Genomic DNA, 19302 nt, shown 5'->3' with positions numbered 1-19302 from the left:
CGGAGAGACGGACAGCGGCGGAGAGGCGGACAGCGGCGGAGAGGCGGATAGCGGCGGCGCGGCGGAGAGGCGGACAGCGGCGGAGAGGCGGACAGCGGCGGCGCGGCGGAGAGACGGACAGCGGCGGAGAGGCGGACAGAGGCGGAGAGGCGGACAGCGGCGGCGCGGCGGAGAGGCGGACAGCGGCGGAGAGGCGGACAGCGGCGGCGCGGCGGAGAGACGGACAGCGGCGGAGAGGCGGACAGCGGCGGAGAGGCGGACAGCGGCGGCGCGGCGGAGAGACGGACAGCGGCGGAGAGGCGGACAGCGGCGGCGAGGCGCGCAGCGGCGGCGCAGGCGCGGAGAGGCGCTGGCGCCGGCTCTGGCGCGGAGAGGCGCAGGCCCAGGCTCCACTCCCCAGCTGTGAAAGGGTAAGAACCGAGGGTGGCTGAGACTCGGGGTTGTTCAGGGCGGGGTGGGCTCTGGACCCAGCAGGCCCGGCACCCAGGTCAGGGCTCCAGGGGAGGCCGGGTGGGCGAAGGCCAAGAAGGGGCTGGGGCTGGTCAGGAAGGGCTCCTGGTGACCGGAGCACTTTGCGTGAGCCAGCGTGGGAGGAAGGTGGGCTGGATGAGCCAGGGAGGCGCCGGGAGGGGCCTTGGCAGAGGCGACCCCCTCCGTCACCCCCAGGCCACTGAACCCTGGGTAGCGGAGAACCGACAGGGGAGGCTGCAGACAGAGGAGTGGAGGCTCCCCGGCTTTGGGGGCTCTGAGTAGAAGCATCTAGGGTGTCCCTCAAGAGGCCCCCAAACGCTTCCCCATGGTGAGAAAAGAAGGTGCAGAGAGGGGCACGGCGCTGGTGCAGAGGGGCACACAGCGAGATTTGCTGTGAGTTCTTTTATTGCCCCAAGTGTACCTCATCTTGGTAGATTTCTATTGGCTTTAAAAATGTGTGTGTTTTGCTGTTGGGGAGTGGGGTATTATACGGATGTCAGATTTTGCTGGTTGACTGTTCAGATCTTTTGTAAATCCTTGCTCCTTTTGTGCCTAGTTTCACTCTGTCACTTACACTAGAGTGCGGTGGCACGAACATGACTCACTGCAGCCTTGACTTCCTAGGGTCAAGTACTTCCCCTGGCTTAACCTCCTGAGTAGCTGGTACTATAGGTGTGTGCCGCCACACCTGGCTAAATTTAAAATTTTTTGGAGAGATGAGGCCTTGCTATGTTGCCCAGGCTCGAACTCCTGGCCTCAAGCTATCCTTTGTTTTTGCCTCCCAGAGTTCTGGGATTACAGGCATGAGCCACTGTGCCCGGCCTCTGCCTAGTTTTAACAGTTGCTAAGAGGAGGATGTTGAAGTAGATGTCTTCTTGGTGGGTTAATCCTTTTGTCATTAAGCAGTTGTTATGGTCACTTCCTCTTTTCACCCCATTGGTGAAGGAGGGGTCCCTGCCCTAAAGTGTAGGAGATGGCTGAACACGACACCTGGCGTGGATGGATGCGATTGACAGCAGTGTTTTAGTCACATATACCCACAGCTCAGAGGAGGACACTGCATGCCACACAGGGTCAGATGGGCACCGCACTCTGTAGTGGAGTGAGGGCTGCGGGCTGAGGAAGCAGGCGGGCTTGGTAGTAACAAGAGCACACGATGACCAATGGTTCCCGAGGGGGAATGCAATTGGCTTGTTTGAATAAATTCATGGGCTGGCAGACAGGTGAAGTGAAACTTCTTAGGCTGAGGTGCAACTGTTCTGGCTGATAAAAGAACTAGCCAGGTGGGGAGCCTTTCCTGTTGGGTGGCGGGGTAGGGGGTGTCTGGTAGAAACAGGAAAACCCACGGCTAGGTCTTTGGGGCCCTGTGAGGCTCAAACATGTCAAGGCAGCATAGGAAATTTTAGATCTTAAAATTCAGCGAAGACCCTCTCCAGCTCTGGTAAATTATTTTGCTTGAAGTCTACTTCATGAGATATTAATATATTCACTCCTGCTTCCTTAAAAAATTAATGATTTCACAGGATATCTTTCTCCATTCTTTTACTTTCAACCTACTTAGGTCCTTAAGTGAGTTTGAAGTTTCTTATGAACAGCATTTAGTTGGGCCATGTGTTTATTATAGGCTCTCCATCAATCTGTCTTTTGGTTTATTTAGACCATTTACATTTAAGGTGCTTATTGTTACATAATTGCTTATGTCTGATGTTTTTATTATTTGCTTTTTTGTTTCCTTTTTCTTTCCCTCCATCTTGATCTATTTCTGTATAATGTTGTTGCGTGTATCTCTTTGTATAGTCTTAAAGTGTTTGCTCTGGATGTTACAATATGTGTATTGTAATATAGTAGTCTACTGGTACCAGTATTTACCACTTCAAAGTGTGGAAACCTGCCTTGCATTTATGTCTCTTTACCTTTTCCACTTGTATAAATCACTGGCTTGAGTATTAGGTGGTGGTATAGTTTTTGTTTCAGTCGTCAAATGTGATTTTAAGAACTGTGGATTGTCTCGCATATGTATCCACATTTCTCGTCTTTCCTTTGTCCCTCCTCCCATAGTCCCATATTCATCCCTTCTGCATAAGAACTTTCTATAGCCATTTTTTTATTTTGATTTTTTTGTTTTAATTTTTTATATTGTGGAAATGACAGAACATATTTCTGTAGCCACTTTTTAGCATTTCTAAATTGACCAGTGACAAATTCCTATATTCTCTTCCTCTGAGAATGTCTTTATTTCTCTCTTCATTTCTGAAGGGTAGTTTCATGGGATATAGAATTTGCCTTTCATGTATTCAGAGGTTTTCAGTATTCGTATAATCAAACCTGATAGTTTTCCTTTTGGTTTTGAGGTTGTGTCTTGTTTGGGTGAGTCTCCTACCCATTTGACTACAGAAATGCCCTTTCATTTTAAATATCCTCCTATTATGAAACACATTTCCACATTTTCTAAATTTTTAATTTTTAGCTGAGAAATAAATTAGTAATTATTTAAGTATTAATTACTTTTATCTTGCTATTAATTATTGGTTTTATTTATTTACATGTAGTTGGCTTACATTTAGTTTAGTTTAACTTAATTACTTTAAAGTAATGTATAACTATCTGCAGTTTGTACCTCATGTTCTCACTCATAAGTGGGAGCTGAACAATGAGAACACGTAGACACAGGGAGGGGAACATCACACACCAGGTTCTATCCAGGGGTTGGAGGCAAGGGAAAGGAGAGCATTATGACAAATACCTAATGCATGCAGGGCTTAAAACCTAGATGACAAATTGATAGGTGCAGCAAACCACCATGGCACATGTATACCTATGTAATAAACCTACATGTTCTGAACATGTATCCCAGAACTTAAAGTAAAATTAAAAAAAAAATAATTAATTAAAAATATATATCTTCAGTTTGTAAACGTCCCGACAACACAGGAACAGAGTTAAAAGAGTGTGTGTCGTCCTTAGCTGCTCCCACCCCATCGTCTCCTCCCTAGCCAACCCAGCCGCCAGTCTGGCGTGCGCCTTCAAGGTTTCTTCCTAGACACTGGCAAACATAGATCACTATTTTCTGCCACATGGTATCTTTTAAACACACACGATTGTTTTGTGCAGAAACTTTCTATTTTTACCTCTCATAAGTGTCCTGTGGATTCTTTCCATGTCACTGTGGTGTGTGTGCGTGTGTGAGATTCAAGTTCAGCTTGCTAATCTTGTAGAAAGAATTACACTCCACTTCCCCTGTGCTCTGGCCCTCCCTAACACAGCAGCCCATCCCTGGAGGCTGATGGAGCCCCTCGAGCACCTGCTTACCATTTCTGTTTGTTCTGTTTATTCAGGTTTTCTGCCTCCTGCTAAGCCAATTTATACATTCCAAGAAAATCTTCCATTTCATCCAGGTGAAACAGAACCTACTGGAATGAAGCTGGCCTCCCATGGAATGAAGCTGGCCTCCCGTCTCCTTGATTTGAAGCAGCTTCTCCACGTTGGTTATTATGTCATTTTTCTAAATCTAACATTTTAAAATTTGTGCCTTTTCTTTCTCTTTTGCTTGACTTCTCAGAGGTTTTTTTAATGGTCTTTTCAAAGAAGTGGTTTTGGGTTTTATTTATCAAGTCTACTTTTATTATGGCTGTTTTAAAATTAAATACATTTATTTCTTGTTTCCCTTAAAAAAGCTTCTTGTATGTTTACTTAGTTTATATAATTTTATATGTCTTCTGTTGAAGCATATTAACAAACACTTCCAGCTATAACGTTTCCCCTGAGAACTGCTTTGGACACATCCAGAGATTTTGATAGGTCACACACTTATTGTAGTTTGTTTCTGAAAAGTTTTTCATTTTAGTTTTTATTTTCTCTTTTACTCAAATTATCATCAGCTTTCTCCTTTTATCCTGTTTCTGACAAATTAATCTGAGGATATAAATTTCTCCCTAAATGTCAATTTTGTTGAGTTTCATAATTTTAATATGTAATACCCTATTGCTATTGAGTTCCAGGCATTTTATAATTTTCATTGTGAAAACTAACTTTGTTTCCAAAACACACTTTTTCTTCTTTTTTGAGACAGAGTTTCACTCTGTCGCTCAGGCTGGAGTGCAGTAGCACAATCTCATCTCACTGCAACCTCTGCCTCCTAAGTTTAGGTGATTTTGTTGCCTCAGCCTCCCTAGTAGCCGGGTTTACAGGCTTTTGCCACTATGCCTGGCTAATTTTTTGTATTTTTAGTAGAGACAGGGTTTCGTCATGTTGCCCAGGCTGGTCTCGATCTCCTGACCTGGGGTGATCCACCCGCTTCAGCCTCTCAAAGTGCTGCGATTACAGGCATGAGCCACCATGCCCGGCCCCAAAATGCACTTTTAACATGGTCTTTGTTATTGCATGTTTCTAATTTTGTTGCACCCTGGTGAGAGAATGTGATTTGTGTAACAGCAATTCTTGGGAAAGGGGCTGAGGCTTCCTGCTCCTTTAGCACAGCTAAATTTTCCCAAACGCCATCCATGAGCTTGGAAAGAGCATTGTACTCTGTTGGGATGGGCTCAAATCTCTCTGTAAAAATGAGTGTTCTTCTGTTGTTGTTGTTCTGTTTTTTGTTTGTTTTGTTTTGTTTGTTTTTTGTCTCAGTCGTTTTGTTTGCTCAGATCTTTTGATGATCCAGATGATCTTTTAATTTATGCAGGATGTTTCTCTGCTTGTGCAGGCTGGTGGGATTGGGGACTGGAGAGAGGATAAGTGTCTGCTTGCCCAGGACTGGCAAACTGTCACTTGCCCTGGTTGTGCCTTGCCAGGAGCTCCCGTGCCTGTCTCTGAGAGTGTCATGAGCGCAGCGGTGGTAGTTGTGTGGTGGATGCATTTCCCCTGGGTTGGGGGGTGGGTGGCTGGTCCTAGCTCTGTTTGTTGTTGCCGATGAGACACAGCACACTTCTGCTTCCTGATGGATCTTGTCGGTCATTTGACTTCTTCCTGGTCTGGGCTCCTGAGCTGGCCCTCCGCAGGCCAAGCAGGAATGGAGCTGGCTGCTACAAGAGTTCCTTCACTAGAGGGCATCTCTCCTCTCTCCTCCCACACATGGGAACACAAGGGTGGGCTTTCCTCCGCCCACTGTGATCCGCAGCCCGGCTTTCCCCTCCTCACCCTCTGCTCTCAGACAGACTTGGTTTTCGCTGGTGTCTGTGAGAGGTGATTCTTCATGGTGCCAAGAATGTGGATTTTTTTGAGAGCAGGCACTCTCACAGATATTTGCACACCCATGTTCAAAGCAGCGTGATTCACAAGAGTCAAAAGGTAGAAGCATTCTGAGGGTCTATGGGTGAGTGGATGGGCAAGCGAAATGTGGTTATGCATACAGTAGACTGTTACTGAACCTTTACCAGGAAGGAGATTCTTTTTTTTCTTTCTTTTTGTGGAAAATGCAGTCTCGCTATATTGCCCAGGCAGGTCTCGAACTCCTGGGTTCAAGCTATCTTCCTACCTCTGCCTCCCTAACAGCTAGGATAATAGGCGTGAGCCTATAATATCACCCAGCCAGGAGGGAAATTCTGAGAGGTGTGCCAACACACATGAACCTTGAGGACATTGTGCTAGATGGAATAAGCCAGCCACAAAAGGACAAATACATTGCGATTTCACTTACATGAGGGGCCCAGAATGGGCAAATTCAAATACAGAAAGAGCAATGGTTAACAAAAGGAGGGAGTTGGTGTTCAATGGGTCTGGTTTCCTTTTGGGAAGATGAAGACGTTCTGGAGATGGACGGTGGTAGGGGATATGCGACAATGTGAGTGCACTTAATGCCAGTTATAACACGGGGAGCGCGTGTGCACACGGCTCTGGGAGTTCTCGTGCAGCACTCAGAGCTCAGCGTGGGCGAGGGCGTCACCCCTCTGGGGGCGTCCATGGGGCCTTGGAGAAGGGAGGCTTCAGGGCACCAGAGCAGTCTACCGGGAGAGGCCGGGCCGAGCGCTTGTTCACCCCCAGCCCTCTTAGGGAACTTTCACATGCTTCTCCCACTAGGCCTAGGCACCCCTCCCTACTCTCCCTACCCTCCTGGTTCCCTGACCCTCAGTGACTGTGTCCTTCAAGACTGAACTCCAGAGTCCCCACCCGAGGACCCGCAGTGCCCAGCCCCCGCGAGCTCGCGGGGTGTATGCCCACCCCGAGGCTCCACCGCGCCTGTGTGCTGGGAAGCCTGGCTCCATGGGACCCTCGGGCTCTGGGCGCGCTGTCGCTGCAGCTGCCAGCAGCTCCTGAGGAAGTGGCTCGAGGCCCTGGGGCGGGCCAGGCGTGCGGTGGGCCCGCAGCCCTCACACCGGCCCCGGCCGCACACAGGAGGCACAATCAGCAGAGACGTTGGACAGGGTTGGACACTGGCTGTCTCTTTCGGGCCTCAGTTTTCACGTCTGAAATAAAAGCGAGCATCCTGGCCCTGGCGCCATGCCTCTGCCGCGGTAGAGGTTTCCACCCCTATGAGCCCAGTGCGCCTTCCAGGCTCGAGGGAGAGGGAGTGTGCGTGCGTGTGAACGCGTCACACTCTTGTGTGAACGCGTCATACGCTTGTGAAAGACTGTGCGTGTGCACACGCGTGTACGTGCATGTGAACGCATCAGGGTGCCCGAGGATGCACACATGCACGTGTGAGTGTGCGCGAGTGCGTGCTCAGAGGACAGCTCTCAGCAGGCTGGGGACCTCCTTCCTCTCACCCCTGAGGGTTTTGGGGGACCAGCCCCCGTCTCCGGGTGCTATGGGATGCCCTGGGGCGAGCTCCCACCGCTGTGCTCGGGCTCCGGCTTTGTGGGGACCCGGCCTTCCCCGCCCTCACCACGGGGAGTTCCACGCAGCACCCACGAGGTGGCGCCGCAGACTCGCTATCGCGGAGCGTGGCGGCTCCCAGCAGCCTTGCCTACAGCTGTGGCCAGGGCGATCCCTCTCAGGCCCAGGCCGCTGCTGCCAGGAAGAGCAGGAACAATAGCCAGTCACGCCTGGTGATGCCCTGAAGTGCTTATGCTCCCAGGCATGGGCTGTCCACAACGTGCATTCTCTCCTTTTATGCCCCTACTATTTGGAACGCTGTATTTTTTCATTTTTATTTTTATTTTTTGTTGTAAATCTGCCACTTAAAAATACCCAGGGTGGAGCTAAAAGTACAGACACTGCTCAACTTACCCCTGGCTGCGGCCCAATAAGGCCGCTGCGAGTGGAAAATGACTGAGTCCACCTGACTACCGAATAGCACAGCGTGGGGGGGCCCACCTTGGCCTGCTGAGAACACTGCCCTGAGCCTGCGGTGGGCAGAAGCATCAACACGAAGCCTGTTTTGTAGTCAAGTGTCGGATACCTCATGTAATCATTGACTGCTGTACTGAAAGTGAAAAACTGGCCGTGTGGGACTCACACGAGGGTTTCTGCTGACTGTGGATGGCTTTTGCATCACTATAAAGTTGAAAACTGTTAAGTGGAACTGCGGTAAGTCGGGGCTGTGTGCGCTAGAGACCTGAGTTCTGCCGCTCCATAGCTGTGTGACTTTGGACACATATTTGAGCCTGAGTGTCTTCTACACAAAATGGATTTCTTAGCATAACCTACACATGTGTACGTGCCCGTGAGCGTGCACGTGTGTGTTTGCATGAACACATCTGTGTATGCACGAATGTGTGCACATTTGTGTGTGTCTGTGTAAGTCCGTATGTACATTTGTGTGCATGTCTGTGTGTGCATATGTTTGTATGTGTGTGTGCTATGCATGTGTGTGTTAAGGCCCTGGGGTGGAGCTGAGGAGTTGAGGGGAGATGCTGGGAGGGCAGCCAGCACCAGGCGTTTGTTGGCCAGGAGAGAAGCTGCCATCCAGGTGCACTCTGGAGCTCGTGCTTCAGTGGCACAATGCTTTGGGAGTGAGGAAGCTGGGGGCTGGGGCAGGGCAGTCCTGCACCTCAGGGGAGGTGCAGAGTGAGGCCAGGAGGATGGAAAGAGTGCCAGAGAATGGGGGAAATCTGAGGCATCAGGAAAGGAAGACACAGGCCATGGAGAGGGCAGCTGGGCCCTGGGTGAGGCCGGCCCTCAGGAAGGAGGTGCCACAGGCAGGGGAGTGCCCAGATGGAGAGCCCAGGGGTATGGACCCACGGGTGTATGACAGTGGGGGTACTCCTGAAACAGAGCAGTGTTATCCAACAAGCAGGGTTGGGACAACTAGTTATTTCATTTAAAAAAACAGGTCAATGTCAGTCCTCATACTGTGCTTTAAAATAAGCTCCAGATGGACTCATGTTTTACATGTAAAGAAAAGAAGGCAAAAAGAAAATAAAGAAAAGGCTTGTAAGCAGGTAGTTAATTGGAGGCAATCCCAGGATGCAGGAGAGAGGGGATGGAGCCACAGCAGGTCTGGGGAAGGGAGAGAAGCCGGCCCCGAGACCGCAGCCCGAGGACCCATTCAGGCCAGCAGTGCCTTCTGTGCACTTCCACAAGGTCACACGTTCTTCCAAAGTTGCCATCATGGAGAGATAGGCTTCCACGTAGTCTTGACTCCACTGGATTTCAGTCCTTAGGTGACTTTTCCTGTGATCACACTCAGCCCTGATACAGTCATTGCTGGGGCCTCCCCTGGCTGGACGTTCCGCTTTTGGTTCACATTCTTTCCTCCTGCCCCGAGACTGGCCATGGGCCTCCCAAAGGCTAGCTGGGAGGACCTCCCTTCCACGGCTGTGCTCTTGCTCTGCCCATGCTGTCGCCTCCATCTCCACCTCCCTCTCCATCCTCACCACCAGCCCTCGAGTCAGTGGGGAGCTTTCCACTCACCAAGCCCAGGCAAGTGCATCGCGTGAATTTCTCTTGCGCCTCCCACTAGAGGTAGAGGCGCTGTTGTCACCCTATCTGCTGAGGATATGCTGGGGCTGGCAGGGGCCACCCAAGACCAAGGGTGTCACTGTCTCCATCCTGTGCCCACCCAGTCCTGCCCCCTGGGCTCCCTTCAAATCTTTTTTTTTTTTTTTTTTTGAGACAGAGTCCTGCTCTGTCTCCCAGGCTGCAGTGCAGTGGTACAATCTCAGCTCACTGCAATCTCTGCCTCCTGGGTTCAAGCGATTCTCCTGCCTCAGCCTCCCAAACTGCTGGGACTACAGGCACCCACCACCACACCCGGCTAATTTTTTATTTTTATTTTTGTATTTTTAGTAGAGATGAGGTTTCACTATGTTGGCCAGGCTGGTCTTGAACTCCTGACCTCGTGATCCCCCTGCTGCAGCCTCCCAAAGTGCTAGGATTACAGGCGTGAGCCACCACACCTGGCCCCCTTCAAATCTTAACAGAGAAGCCACCAAAGTCTCCTTGGGTCCATCACATGGATGGGCCTCCTGGGCCCCTCAGACCCTGGGCTTCCCTTGAGGTCCTGGAGCTATGTGGGCTCCAGCTCTGGGAAGGTGGACCCCCATGCATGTGTCCTGCCGTCACTGTCTCTATGGAGTCTGGCTCACACTAAGTGAGCCATAAGGCCTTCTTCAAGGTCATCTGTCCCACTGATTTCAGACTCAGGGCGGAGTGTGAAATCATCTGTCCCCCACAGTGCACTCAGAACCCTGTCTGGACTAGGGCACACACACATGCATGCGCATATGAACACACATATGCATATGCACGCACACATGCAAGGCTGCAAGTCTCATGCACACACACATGCACACACATGCACATGCATGTTCACATGCAGAGGCACTCAGGCACCTAGAGCCTTCTCATCCTGCACTTTGAGTCCCCCCTCCCCTTGCCCATCCTTGCCCATCCTTCAAGGCCTCAGTCAAAAGCCATCTTTTACAAATTGTCTCTGGTTGACTTTCCTTTTTTTCCCTCTTAGAAGAAGCGATGCTGTCCTCAGTCATCAAGCGTTCACTAGGCGCTTGGTGTGTGCCAGGCCCCGATGTGGGTCTTGGGCATGTTCCAGTTCTCACGTCCTCAGGGCTCCTTGGTGAGTCGAGGGTGAGGAGGACACAGAGGCACAGGAGGCCATGGGGCAGGTCTGGGTGCACTCAGGCTCCAGAGCTCAGCCCTCCCTGCTGAGTCAGGGCGAGCAGGATAGACGCCTGCTCCTGGAACTCAGTGGGTGAGGTGGACACGCATGCAGGGAGGTACCAGCCTCAGGGGCTGTGGAACAGAGAAAGGGAGCTTCCAGGACATCAAACAATTCCTGGAGTGCCAGGGCAAGAGGGGAATCTGGGTGGAGGAAAGTGTGAACAGGGCAGAGGTTGGAAGTGGTTGTGGCCCCCGAGCATGTCGGAGGCGACTGAGCTGCTCCTTGACTTTGGGCATCTTTGTTCGTCTCTGCATTTGCACATTTGTTGAACAAACCTACTGAGACACTTGTTTTCTTTCCATGGTCCATACATTAGGAATATTGAGTTAGCTTCCTGGGGAACATTTTAAGACGTATTCTTAGAGAAGAAACCAGGAGGCATCCTTGTGGGACGTTGGTCCAGGATCTTGGGTGTGTCCTTTGGTCTTTTGTGGGTCAGGTTAGCAGGAATTGTGTCCTGAGGTGTTGGAACTGCAAAGTGCAGGTTCCCTCCTGCCCGCACTGATGCCTTCAGGGAATGGCCTGTCCGCTTTTCTAAGAAGAACACTTAACTCAGCCTTGGCTGACTTCAGCTACCTGTGCTTTCTCCAGCCAGGCTCTGTGTTTTGTGCTTTTACTCTCAAAACAACCCTATTATTATCCGTGTCCCACAGATGAGGATGCTGAGCCCCTGAGAGGCTCAGTAGGTGCCTGAAGGCATTCCAGCCAAGAGGTGGCAGAGCCAGGGCCAGCCTGGCCTGAGGACTCTGAAGCTCCCACAGGCACAGCTCCTTCATGCCAGCTCTGTGTCAGGATTTTCTGTGGTCATCACAGCCATCTTCCTGGTCGGCTAAGTTACAGACAGGGTGGAACTAGGATGGCCAAGCTGGAAGCAGAGCTCATTCCTGAGCAGGGCACCCGGGCCCTGCCTACGGTGCTGGGCAGGCTTCTGGTGTGGAGGGTGGGCTCAGATCCTGCTGTCCCTGTGGCTGTGGGAGGCTTTTCTAGGCACCCTCCTGACTGCTAACACCAGGAGGGCCTATGATATGGGACCGCTGCCCCATGACGTGTGCCAGGTTTCTGCACGCGACTGCTGGGAAAGGCTGGCCCTGGGCTGGGTGGACCCGCACTGCCTGCTGGCCCCTGCACCCAGATGGTGCAGCCCACACCCCTCTGATGTCCACCCATGCTCGGCTCTGGGACTTCCCTCCTTCCACCGTGTCTGACCCTGGTTGCCCTTGTTCTGCCACTGGCTTGTAGCAGCCCTTCCTGAAGCCACGTCCTCCAGGGAGATTTGATTATGTCCTGGTGTTGCAACCTCGCTAATGCAATCAGGAAGTTTTCTCAAGACTTCAGCTGCTTTGTTGGCAGCCAGGCCTGACTCTCAGCAGCTCTGCAGGCTGGAAGGGCCCAAGAGACCCCTCACCCACCTGGTGTCTCCAGCAGTGGGGAGGGCTCCGGGGCATAGCCTATTGCTGCTCTGCTCTCCTCCTTTCTTTGGGTAAGCTCCTTTGCTCTGATTTTATCTGGAATCATCGAGAGCCTCTATCTGTCTAGAAAAAGCACTTAGCAATGAGGAATCAGCACTGCGGAGAGTACTCCAGAAAGCAGCCATTTTCCATCAAGATTAGGCTCTTAATTGAAAATTTTAAGAGGAGAGGAAATTAGGGGAGAATCCAGATATTCTCTCCATTATGGTAATTGGCTGTAATCAGAGCCCAAGAGCTGTGTTCAATCCTGGGGGTTCTTCCAGGATTACCAGAGCTGTCATAGTCACCTTCACTGACCTGCACTGGAGTCAGTGGGAGGGGCTGGCGGGGTCCGGGGCTGCTCTGGCAAGTGGATCCAGGAGGGCTGGGCTGGATCCAGGGGGCTGAGTTCAGAGGGGACTCTGCTTAGCAAGTGTGAAACACACGACAGGGCCTTCCAGGCAGAGGGAAGATTGAGAACTGCGGCCGAGCGAGTGCGTCCAGGGGCCCGAGTTTAGTTGAGGGCCTAAGTTTTCCCAGCAGGGCAAGGTTGAGGGTGAGGATGCTGCAGGCCAGTTTTGTATGGCCTCAGAATGAGGACAAGAAGGGGGAGATGGGCCACAGGGATGAGGGTGCCTGCTCCCTGCAGCAGTGTGCACACCACGGCTGTGCAGAGGCAGCAGGTGGCAGGTATTGGGAAGAAGCCCTTCCCTTGTGTGTCCTAGGGGCTGGGCACAGCCTGATGGGCCCCCTTTGCTCACAGTTGCAGAAGCCCATCCATGTAGGGTCCTGCTGAACTGGCTTCCATGGGGCTGGGAAGGACTGGCCTGGCCTCTTTGCTCACTTCACCTTATGGGCAGTGTCCTGCAGGTTTCTGTGAGCAGAGCAGACAGAAAGGAGATGCCCAGTGACGTCAGCTGTCCCCCACAGAGCTTCCTGGAGCCTGGGCTCCAGGCTGAGGGTCCTTGGACAGACGTCATCTCCCTGGCTTCAGCAGAATCACCCACAAACCCACCCTGTGCCCACCCTCCCATCACAGAGAGCAGCTGCTGGAGAAGGCAGCATGAGACTTTGAAGACCTCGAGGAGCAGGAGACACAGGAGACAATGGCCAGGATGGTCATGGTGGCGCGGCTATGCCATCACTGATTTCTGCCTACCTGCCCCCTAAGTCTCACTTGCTACTACTCTCAATTTCCTACTTAATGCTTCAGAGAGCACCAGTCCTGAGATGAGAGGCGGGATGTTCACTCTCTGGGAGTTGAGATGGAACCCAGGCAGTTAGAAAAAAGTGCCACAGCCACGTGCCGAGCCTACTACTTGTCAGGAGCTCAGTGAGTCATCCAATTCCTAAAACAACTGTGCTGCATGTGCTCCACCGCGCCTGGGCGACTCGGGGAAATGGGCTGCGGGAGGCTTAGTGACCTGCCCTGGGTGACACGGATGGCATGGATGCCCTGTCCATGCACGGGGCTGTGCTAGGAGAGGACAGGATCATCCCCAGAAGCTGGTCCTGTGTCCACTGCTCACGGTGGCAGCTGCTTGGGCTGACAACGCCCCCCACCTCCTGATCAGATAGTGATATACTTGGTCCAAACTTCGAAAGTAAAAAAGTTAAAACAGAAAAATAGTCTCCTGGTCATTCATGCTCTCTGGTTCCCTTTTCATTAGTATCTCTTTCTCCTTCTATTTATGGATCTAGTTATTTAAAGCACAGATGGTGACATTCTGTACATATTCTGCATTTTGCTTTTTAAGTCTATTTTATTATGACGTACAATACATATAGAAAAGTGGAAAAAACTGAAATGAATGAATTTTCATGAAGTGAGCATTGGTGTAAACTGAGCCAGTACATTGGGAACCCCCTTCATTCTCCCTCCCAGTTACTGCACCATCCCTCCTGCCACCGGTAAATACTGCCCTGACCTTCATGGTAACTACTTGCTTTGCTTCCATTAGATATTCTATTTTTGTTTCAGCTGTGCTTTTGAACTTTATAGAAATGGATTCATACAGGGTGTATTCCTTCACATTGAGCTGGCTGTGTGCAGCATTGTGTGCAGTTGTTTCATATTGTAGCCGGGAACAGTGACTCATCTTCATTGCTCTTTAGCATTCCATTGTTTAATTGAATCCCAGTTTTCTTTTCCACTGTTGGTTGTGTTTAGATTTTTTTCAGTTTGGGGTTACTATGAAGGATGCTATAAAGAGCATTCTTGTACATGGCTCTTGTAGCACAGTGAACACATTTCTGTTGGGTGTAGAGATGTACGTATATGTGTGTGTGTGTGTGTGTGTGTGTGTATATATATATATACACCCCAAGGGGTAAAATTGTTGGATGTACATACCTTTGACTTCAGTAAATCATGCCAAACTGCTTTCCAAAGTGGTTGTTCATCTTTTTTTCCTTTTGTTTTTCAGTGGATCCTTATAGTTTGGGATTCTTCCATAATGGTACATATAGATGTGTCTCATTTTTTTAAACAGTTGCATAGTTTTCACAGCATGGACATAACATGATTTATTTAACCTGTCTTCTGTTGTTGGACTTCGTTATATTTATACTCAAACAATGCCACAATGAATAACCTTCTTCATAAGTTAATTAAATACTCGATGAAAAATACAGGTTTTTTTTCAGTTTATAAAAGTAATACTTGCTCACTGAGGAAAAAAAAATCTGTAAATTACAGAAAAACACAAAGGAAATATATCCTCTGATCCAACCAGAAAGAAAACTACTTTTCCTATGTTGTGCGTAGCTCTCTAGTTTTTTCTTTCTTTATATCAATTGGATTTTTTTTTTTTTTTTTTTTTTTTTTGGAGACAGGGTCTCACTGTGTCACCCAGGCCGGAGTGCAGTGGCATGATCACAGCTCACTGAAGCCTCGACTTCCCAGGCTTAAGTGATCCTCCTACCTCACTCAGCCTCCCGAGTAGTTGGGACCACAGGCATGTGCCACCACATCTGGCTATTTTTAATATTTTTTGTATAGATGGGGTTTCGCCATGCTGCTCAGGCAGGTCTCAAACTCCTGGCCTCAAGCCATCTGCTTGTGTTGGCCTCCCAAAGTGCTGGATTACAGGCATGCACCACCACCCCCGGCCTAATTGAATTTTTATTTTGGAAGAACCATATACCTTTATACATATTCTTTCTATGACTTATTTTCTGTAGTTGAAGTTCAAGGGTGTTTGACAGTGTGATGTGGTTATTGTTAACCTGTATGTGGGGGCATACAGATATGTTTTTTTACTTTTTCCCATAAGGCTAAGATCATCTCCAGAAATATTAATTTTTTAGACAGTGTGATTATAGTTATTTAATACTCATACTTATCAAAATATTATATGTTAAAACCAATAACCATCTGAACTTATTTGAATATAGTTTTTCCTATTCTGTTCTTAGAAATTTCAGTCACTAACAATCTTTACACTTAGAAAGTGTTTTAATTTTACTTTGATGACAGGAATAGTGTTCTTCTCAATGAAATATAGAATAGCAGCTTATAAGTGATAACTGTTTTCATTCTGTTTTTAAGAGAAAATACTTTGGTCTTTTTTACCATGATAGTTTAGTGTGTGATGTCATAAAAATGGGCTGTAGCCATTTAAATTCTTGTTCAAGTGCAGAAACTAAGAGACTGCAGTTTCTATTAAGCCATGTCAACTCCTATTAGGAGACCTTTAGTGGTTCCAGTTCCAGGGCCTTCTTGAAGAAATTGTGATACTTGTGTAAGTATATCTAGAGTTTTCTTTCCAGCATTGGCTAAGTCACATAGCTGAGAAATATGATACATGGAGAAGGTTGCTGACTGGATGAACTTTTCTACATTGAATACTTTAAATCTGGATTCTAGAATAAAATATATTGATGCATATTTGAGTTGTCAACTGTTTATGTCTTGTTCTTTTCAGCTTCAACATTGCTTTATGGCATGTGTGGTCGTTTTTCACTCCATTGTTGTTGTTTACCCAGTTTATGGGGGTTGTAATGTTTATCACACTCCTTGGATGATTTCCGAAGGTAAGATATCTGGAATGGTTTTTCTAAAAATGAACTCATTTGAAAAATGTCTTTTATGACAATTTTCAGTGGATGGAGCTGTAACAGACTATTTGTGAATTATTTTCAGTCATGTTTACACCAGAGTTGTCCACACTAGAATTATCCATTCGTTGAACTCTGAGATAGACTCCTTTTTTTTGAGACAGTGTCTCACTCTGTTGTCCAGGCTGGAGTACAGTGGCATGATCACCGCTCACTGCAGCCTTGACCACCTGGGGGCTCAAGCGATCCTCCCACCTTAGCTTCCCAAGGAGCTGGTATTACAAACATGTGCTACCACGCTTGGCTAATTTTTAAAATTTTTTTTGTAGAAACAGAGTCTCCTTATTTTGCCCAGGCTGGCAGGGGTTGGGGGCTGAGACTCTTTCTTTTGTAAAAGTTGGTTCTAAGTGACTACTTTTTAGAGAAGGTACCCTGCCTTTCAAAGACCTCATAAAGACAGGATTTGTACCTTCCAATATAGTTAAATTCACACATTAGACCATTTTATGTTGAAATTATATTAATTTGTGTCAGCTTATATTCAATGACTGTTGGCTAGATCATTCTTAAGAAATGGGAATACAGGAAGAATGGACAATTTTACCCAACTGGGAAAAAAAATTCTACCATCTTCTAATTATTCTGACTTCCTCATAAAAATGTGTTGGATGACACAATCAGCTTTTGTTTGGTGTTATTTATAGAATTTCTGCCTCCCTACAGATCACCCCATCCTGAGATCTGCTGCCTTACACAGTGGAGGCTGTTTTCTGAGTGTCGGATAACTCTGTTATTAAATAAGTGCATATTGAGAATACTCACTCCAGATGCTTAGAGGCAAGTTGAGAAGGACAAAGATAGTGCCTCCTGTCAGGTCACTTACATCAGAACTTGCAGGAAACCTGCTTTATACAGCAGTTGACAGGTGTGGAAATTGAAGCTCATGGAAATGAAAGTTAATACGCTAAATTTTCAAGGAGTTAATGAAAACTGACATTTCTGCTAAAAACAGCATGTTCTCCCTGTGGGATTTTAAAGGAAGGTCAATGGTAACTGTACAAAGAAGAAATGGACACAGTCTCATTGTTAGCAGTCTGAAAATAGTTGCTAGCACCTCCATGCCCACGCCAATGTCTCCAGCCTCTTTCAGGCACCTTGCTGTGTCTTGGAACCACTGGGAGCCCTCACAGGAGGCCCTTCGTTCCTGTATGCATGTGGTGCCACAAGCTGCTTTGGGCCCGGAGGAATCCTACACATCTCAGAACACTTCCTCACCTGACCCTGTCACCCATCTCTCCCCTTCTCATGTGCTCAGCCCCTTCTTTGACTCTTGAATTTTGAGTTTTTACAGATGTTTGGGAGCTCTTACCCTGACATGAATTTACAATTGTAATGGAGACTCAGACAACGTTGTAGATCACAGAGTGAACTATGCTTTTTAGTGTTAAATGCAATAGCTTAAGATAGAATGTTTTACTTGTTACATAAATGCTGGTTTTCTTTCAGATTTAAGGATATATACTTTTTTTTTTTTTAAGAGATAGGGTCTTCTATGTTGCCCAGGCTGGCTTTGAACTCCTGGGATCAAGTGATCCTCCTGCCTCAGCCTTCAAAGTAGTTGGGACTACAGGCCCACGCCACCGTGCATGGCTGGACACGTAAATTTGAAGTGAATGGTTAAACATCCAGCTAGCTGAAAGCATGACAGACCCTAACAGAAAAGCTACAGTGTGTTTTTGCAGCTATGAAGTGAATGGTTTCCTGGGGAAAATTGTGACTTTGTATAACTATTTTTGAAACCAGAATAAATTATATTTCACTTGCATATTCTTAAATTATTAAAATTTTCAGAAGTCAGTGATACAGAAATACTATTTTGCAATGTTAATCTGTTTGAGTCTTTGGAGAAAGTGGTTTCATTATAGGTACATGATGCACTCTTAATATTTTAAACAAATAGTTCACTCTTCCATTTAAGGGATAGCAGTTCCTTGTATAAAATGACTGGATATGTATAAAGGAATTACGTTGTCATGTGCCTTTAACCAGCTTTAGTAATTACTATAATCTCATATTTATGATCGTTTTGTTAGGTGACAGGACCAAATGAAAATATTTTATGTTTTCCCGTCACTTTAGATTTTATCATTGTGTAAATTACTGGGTTTTTAGCATTTCCTAATGTGAAGTTTTAATCATTTTTAAGTATACATATTTTTTTCTGTACCATTTAAATAAAATATTTTTATAACTTTCTTGTGAGTTTTGTTCATGCAAACTTTGGAATGACTTCTGGTTTTTAGCTATTAGCACTTTGAATTAACCATAGAAATAACAAGGGCTAACTCTGTTCTTCAAAGACTTTATAAAGACAGTATTTGCACTTTCAAATGCAAATATATCTACATTAAATCTAAACAGCATAAGCATTGTGACAGAATGTACCTCATGTTGATTGTTTTCTCTGTAAGGTGACTTCTAGTAATGATTTGACTTAATCACCACTTGTGTCTGGTTCAGATCATACCCTGCCATTTACTAGCTGCAAGACCTTCAGTAGTACAGGTTTAGTATCCCTAATTTCAAAATCTGAAACTTTTTGATTGCTGATATGGCACTCAAAGGAAATGCTCATTGGAGCATTTCGGGTTTTGGAATACAATGCAAGTATTCCAAAATCCAAAACACTTCTGGTCCCAAGCATTTCAGAGAAGGGGTAGTCAGCCTGTAATCTTTTTTCAGCTGTGAAGTGGGAACAATATCTGTCTTGTAGGGTTGTGGGTAATAGTAATAATGTTTGTAAAACACCAATTACAGTGCCTGACACAGTAGGTGTCCACTCAATAAATGGTAATGGAGAGGGAAAGAAAGGGAAAGCAGAATCTAGGATCAGGAATATCACATCCCGTCATGATGTTTGCAAAGGGGAAAGTCAGGCATGATGAGTAGACAGAAGTAAACCCAGTTTGTTGTCATGGGTATGTGAAGGTGTGGCGAGAGTGTCATTTAAAATAGGGAGCAAGGCCAGGCAAAGGCCACAATCAGGCAGCCGAATCAGGCAGTGATGAATCAGGCAGTGATGTGAGGGTCCGGCACAACCGAGGCAGCAGCCCGGGAAGGGAGGGCATTTGGATCACACTCCCTGGAGGGAGCTTGGGTGGAGAGTGCCCCAGTGTCAGCCTTCACACATTTTATATCTTTTTTTTTTTTCTTGAAGAGTATGTTTACAACATGGATAGAAATCTAAGGCTGGCATGTGTTTAAAACAAT

General features: G+C 47.5%; 1 protein-coding gene across 3 annotated transcripts; it reads left to right on the top strand.

Moving 5' to 3' along the window:
* The first annotated feature begins 71 nt into the window (after positions 1-71).
* Positions 72-17857, top strand: LOC105371216 (uncharacterized). 3 transcript variants are annotated; one of them, XR_922043.3, is made up of 4 exons: positions 315-410; positions 3807-3952; positions 15900-16008; positions 16756-17857. XR_922043.3 is itself a non-coding variant. In XM_047438050.1 (2 exons), exon 2 carries the CDS (start codon positions 6617-6619, stop codon positions 7436-7438), a length of 822 nt encoding a protein of 273 aa, XP_047294006.1. In that variant the 5' UTR covers positions 72-410; positions 3867-6616; the 3' UTR covers positions 7439-10296. The 3 variants fall into 3 exon arrangements, 2 of the variants coding, with proteins under 2 accessions (XP_047294006.1, XP_047293999.1); XM_047438050.1 differs by lacking the exons at positions 15900-16008; positions 16756-17857 and having other exon boundaries at positions 72-410; positions 3867-10296; XM_047438043.1 differs by lacking the exons at positions 15900-16008; positions 16756-17857 and having other exon boundaries at positions 223-410; positions 3807-10296.
* Positions 17858-19302: the final 1445 nt, after the last annotated feature.

The sequence above is a fragment of the Homo sapiens genome, chromosome 1 (genome assembly GCF_000001405.40).
Source record: "Homo sapiens chromosome 1, GRCh38.p14 Primary Assembly".
NCBI lineage: Eukaryota > Metazoa > Chordata > Mammalia > Primates > Hominidae > Homo > Homo sapiens.
Note: the sequence above shows the minus strand (reverse complement) of the source record. Positions and strands in the feature narration are given on the sequence as shown.

Bases quoted from the DNA above. Each gene is read 5' to 3' on its own strand.
- LOC105371216 (XM_047438050.1), top strand. From the start codon at position 6,617: ATGCCCACCCCGAGGCTCCACCGCGCCTGTGTGCTGGGAAGCCTGGCT.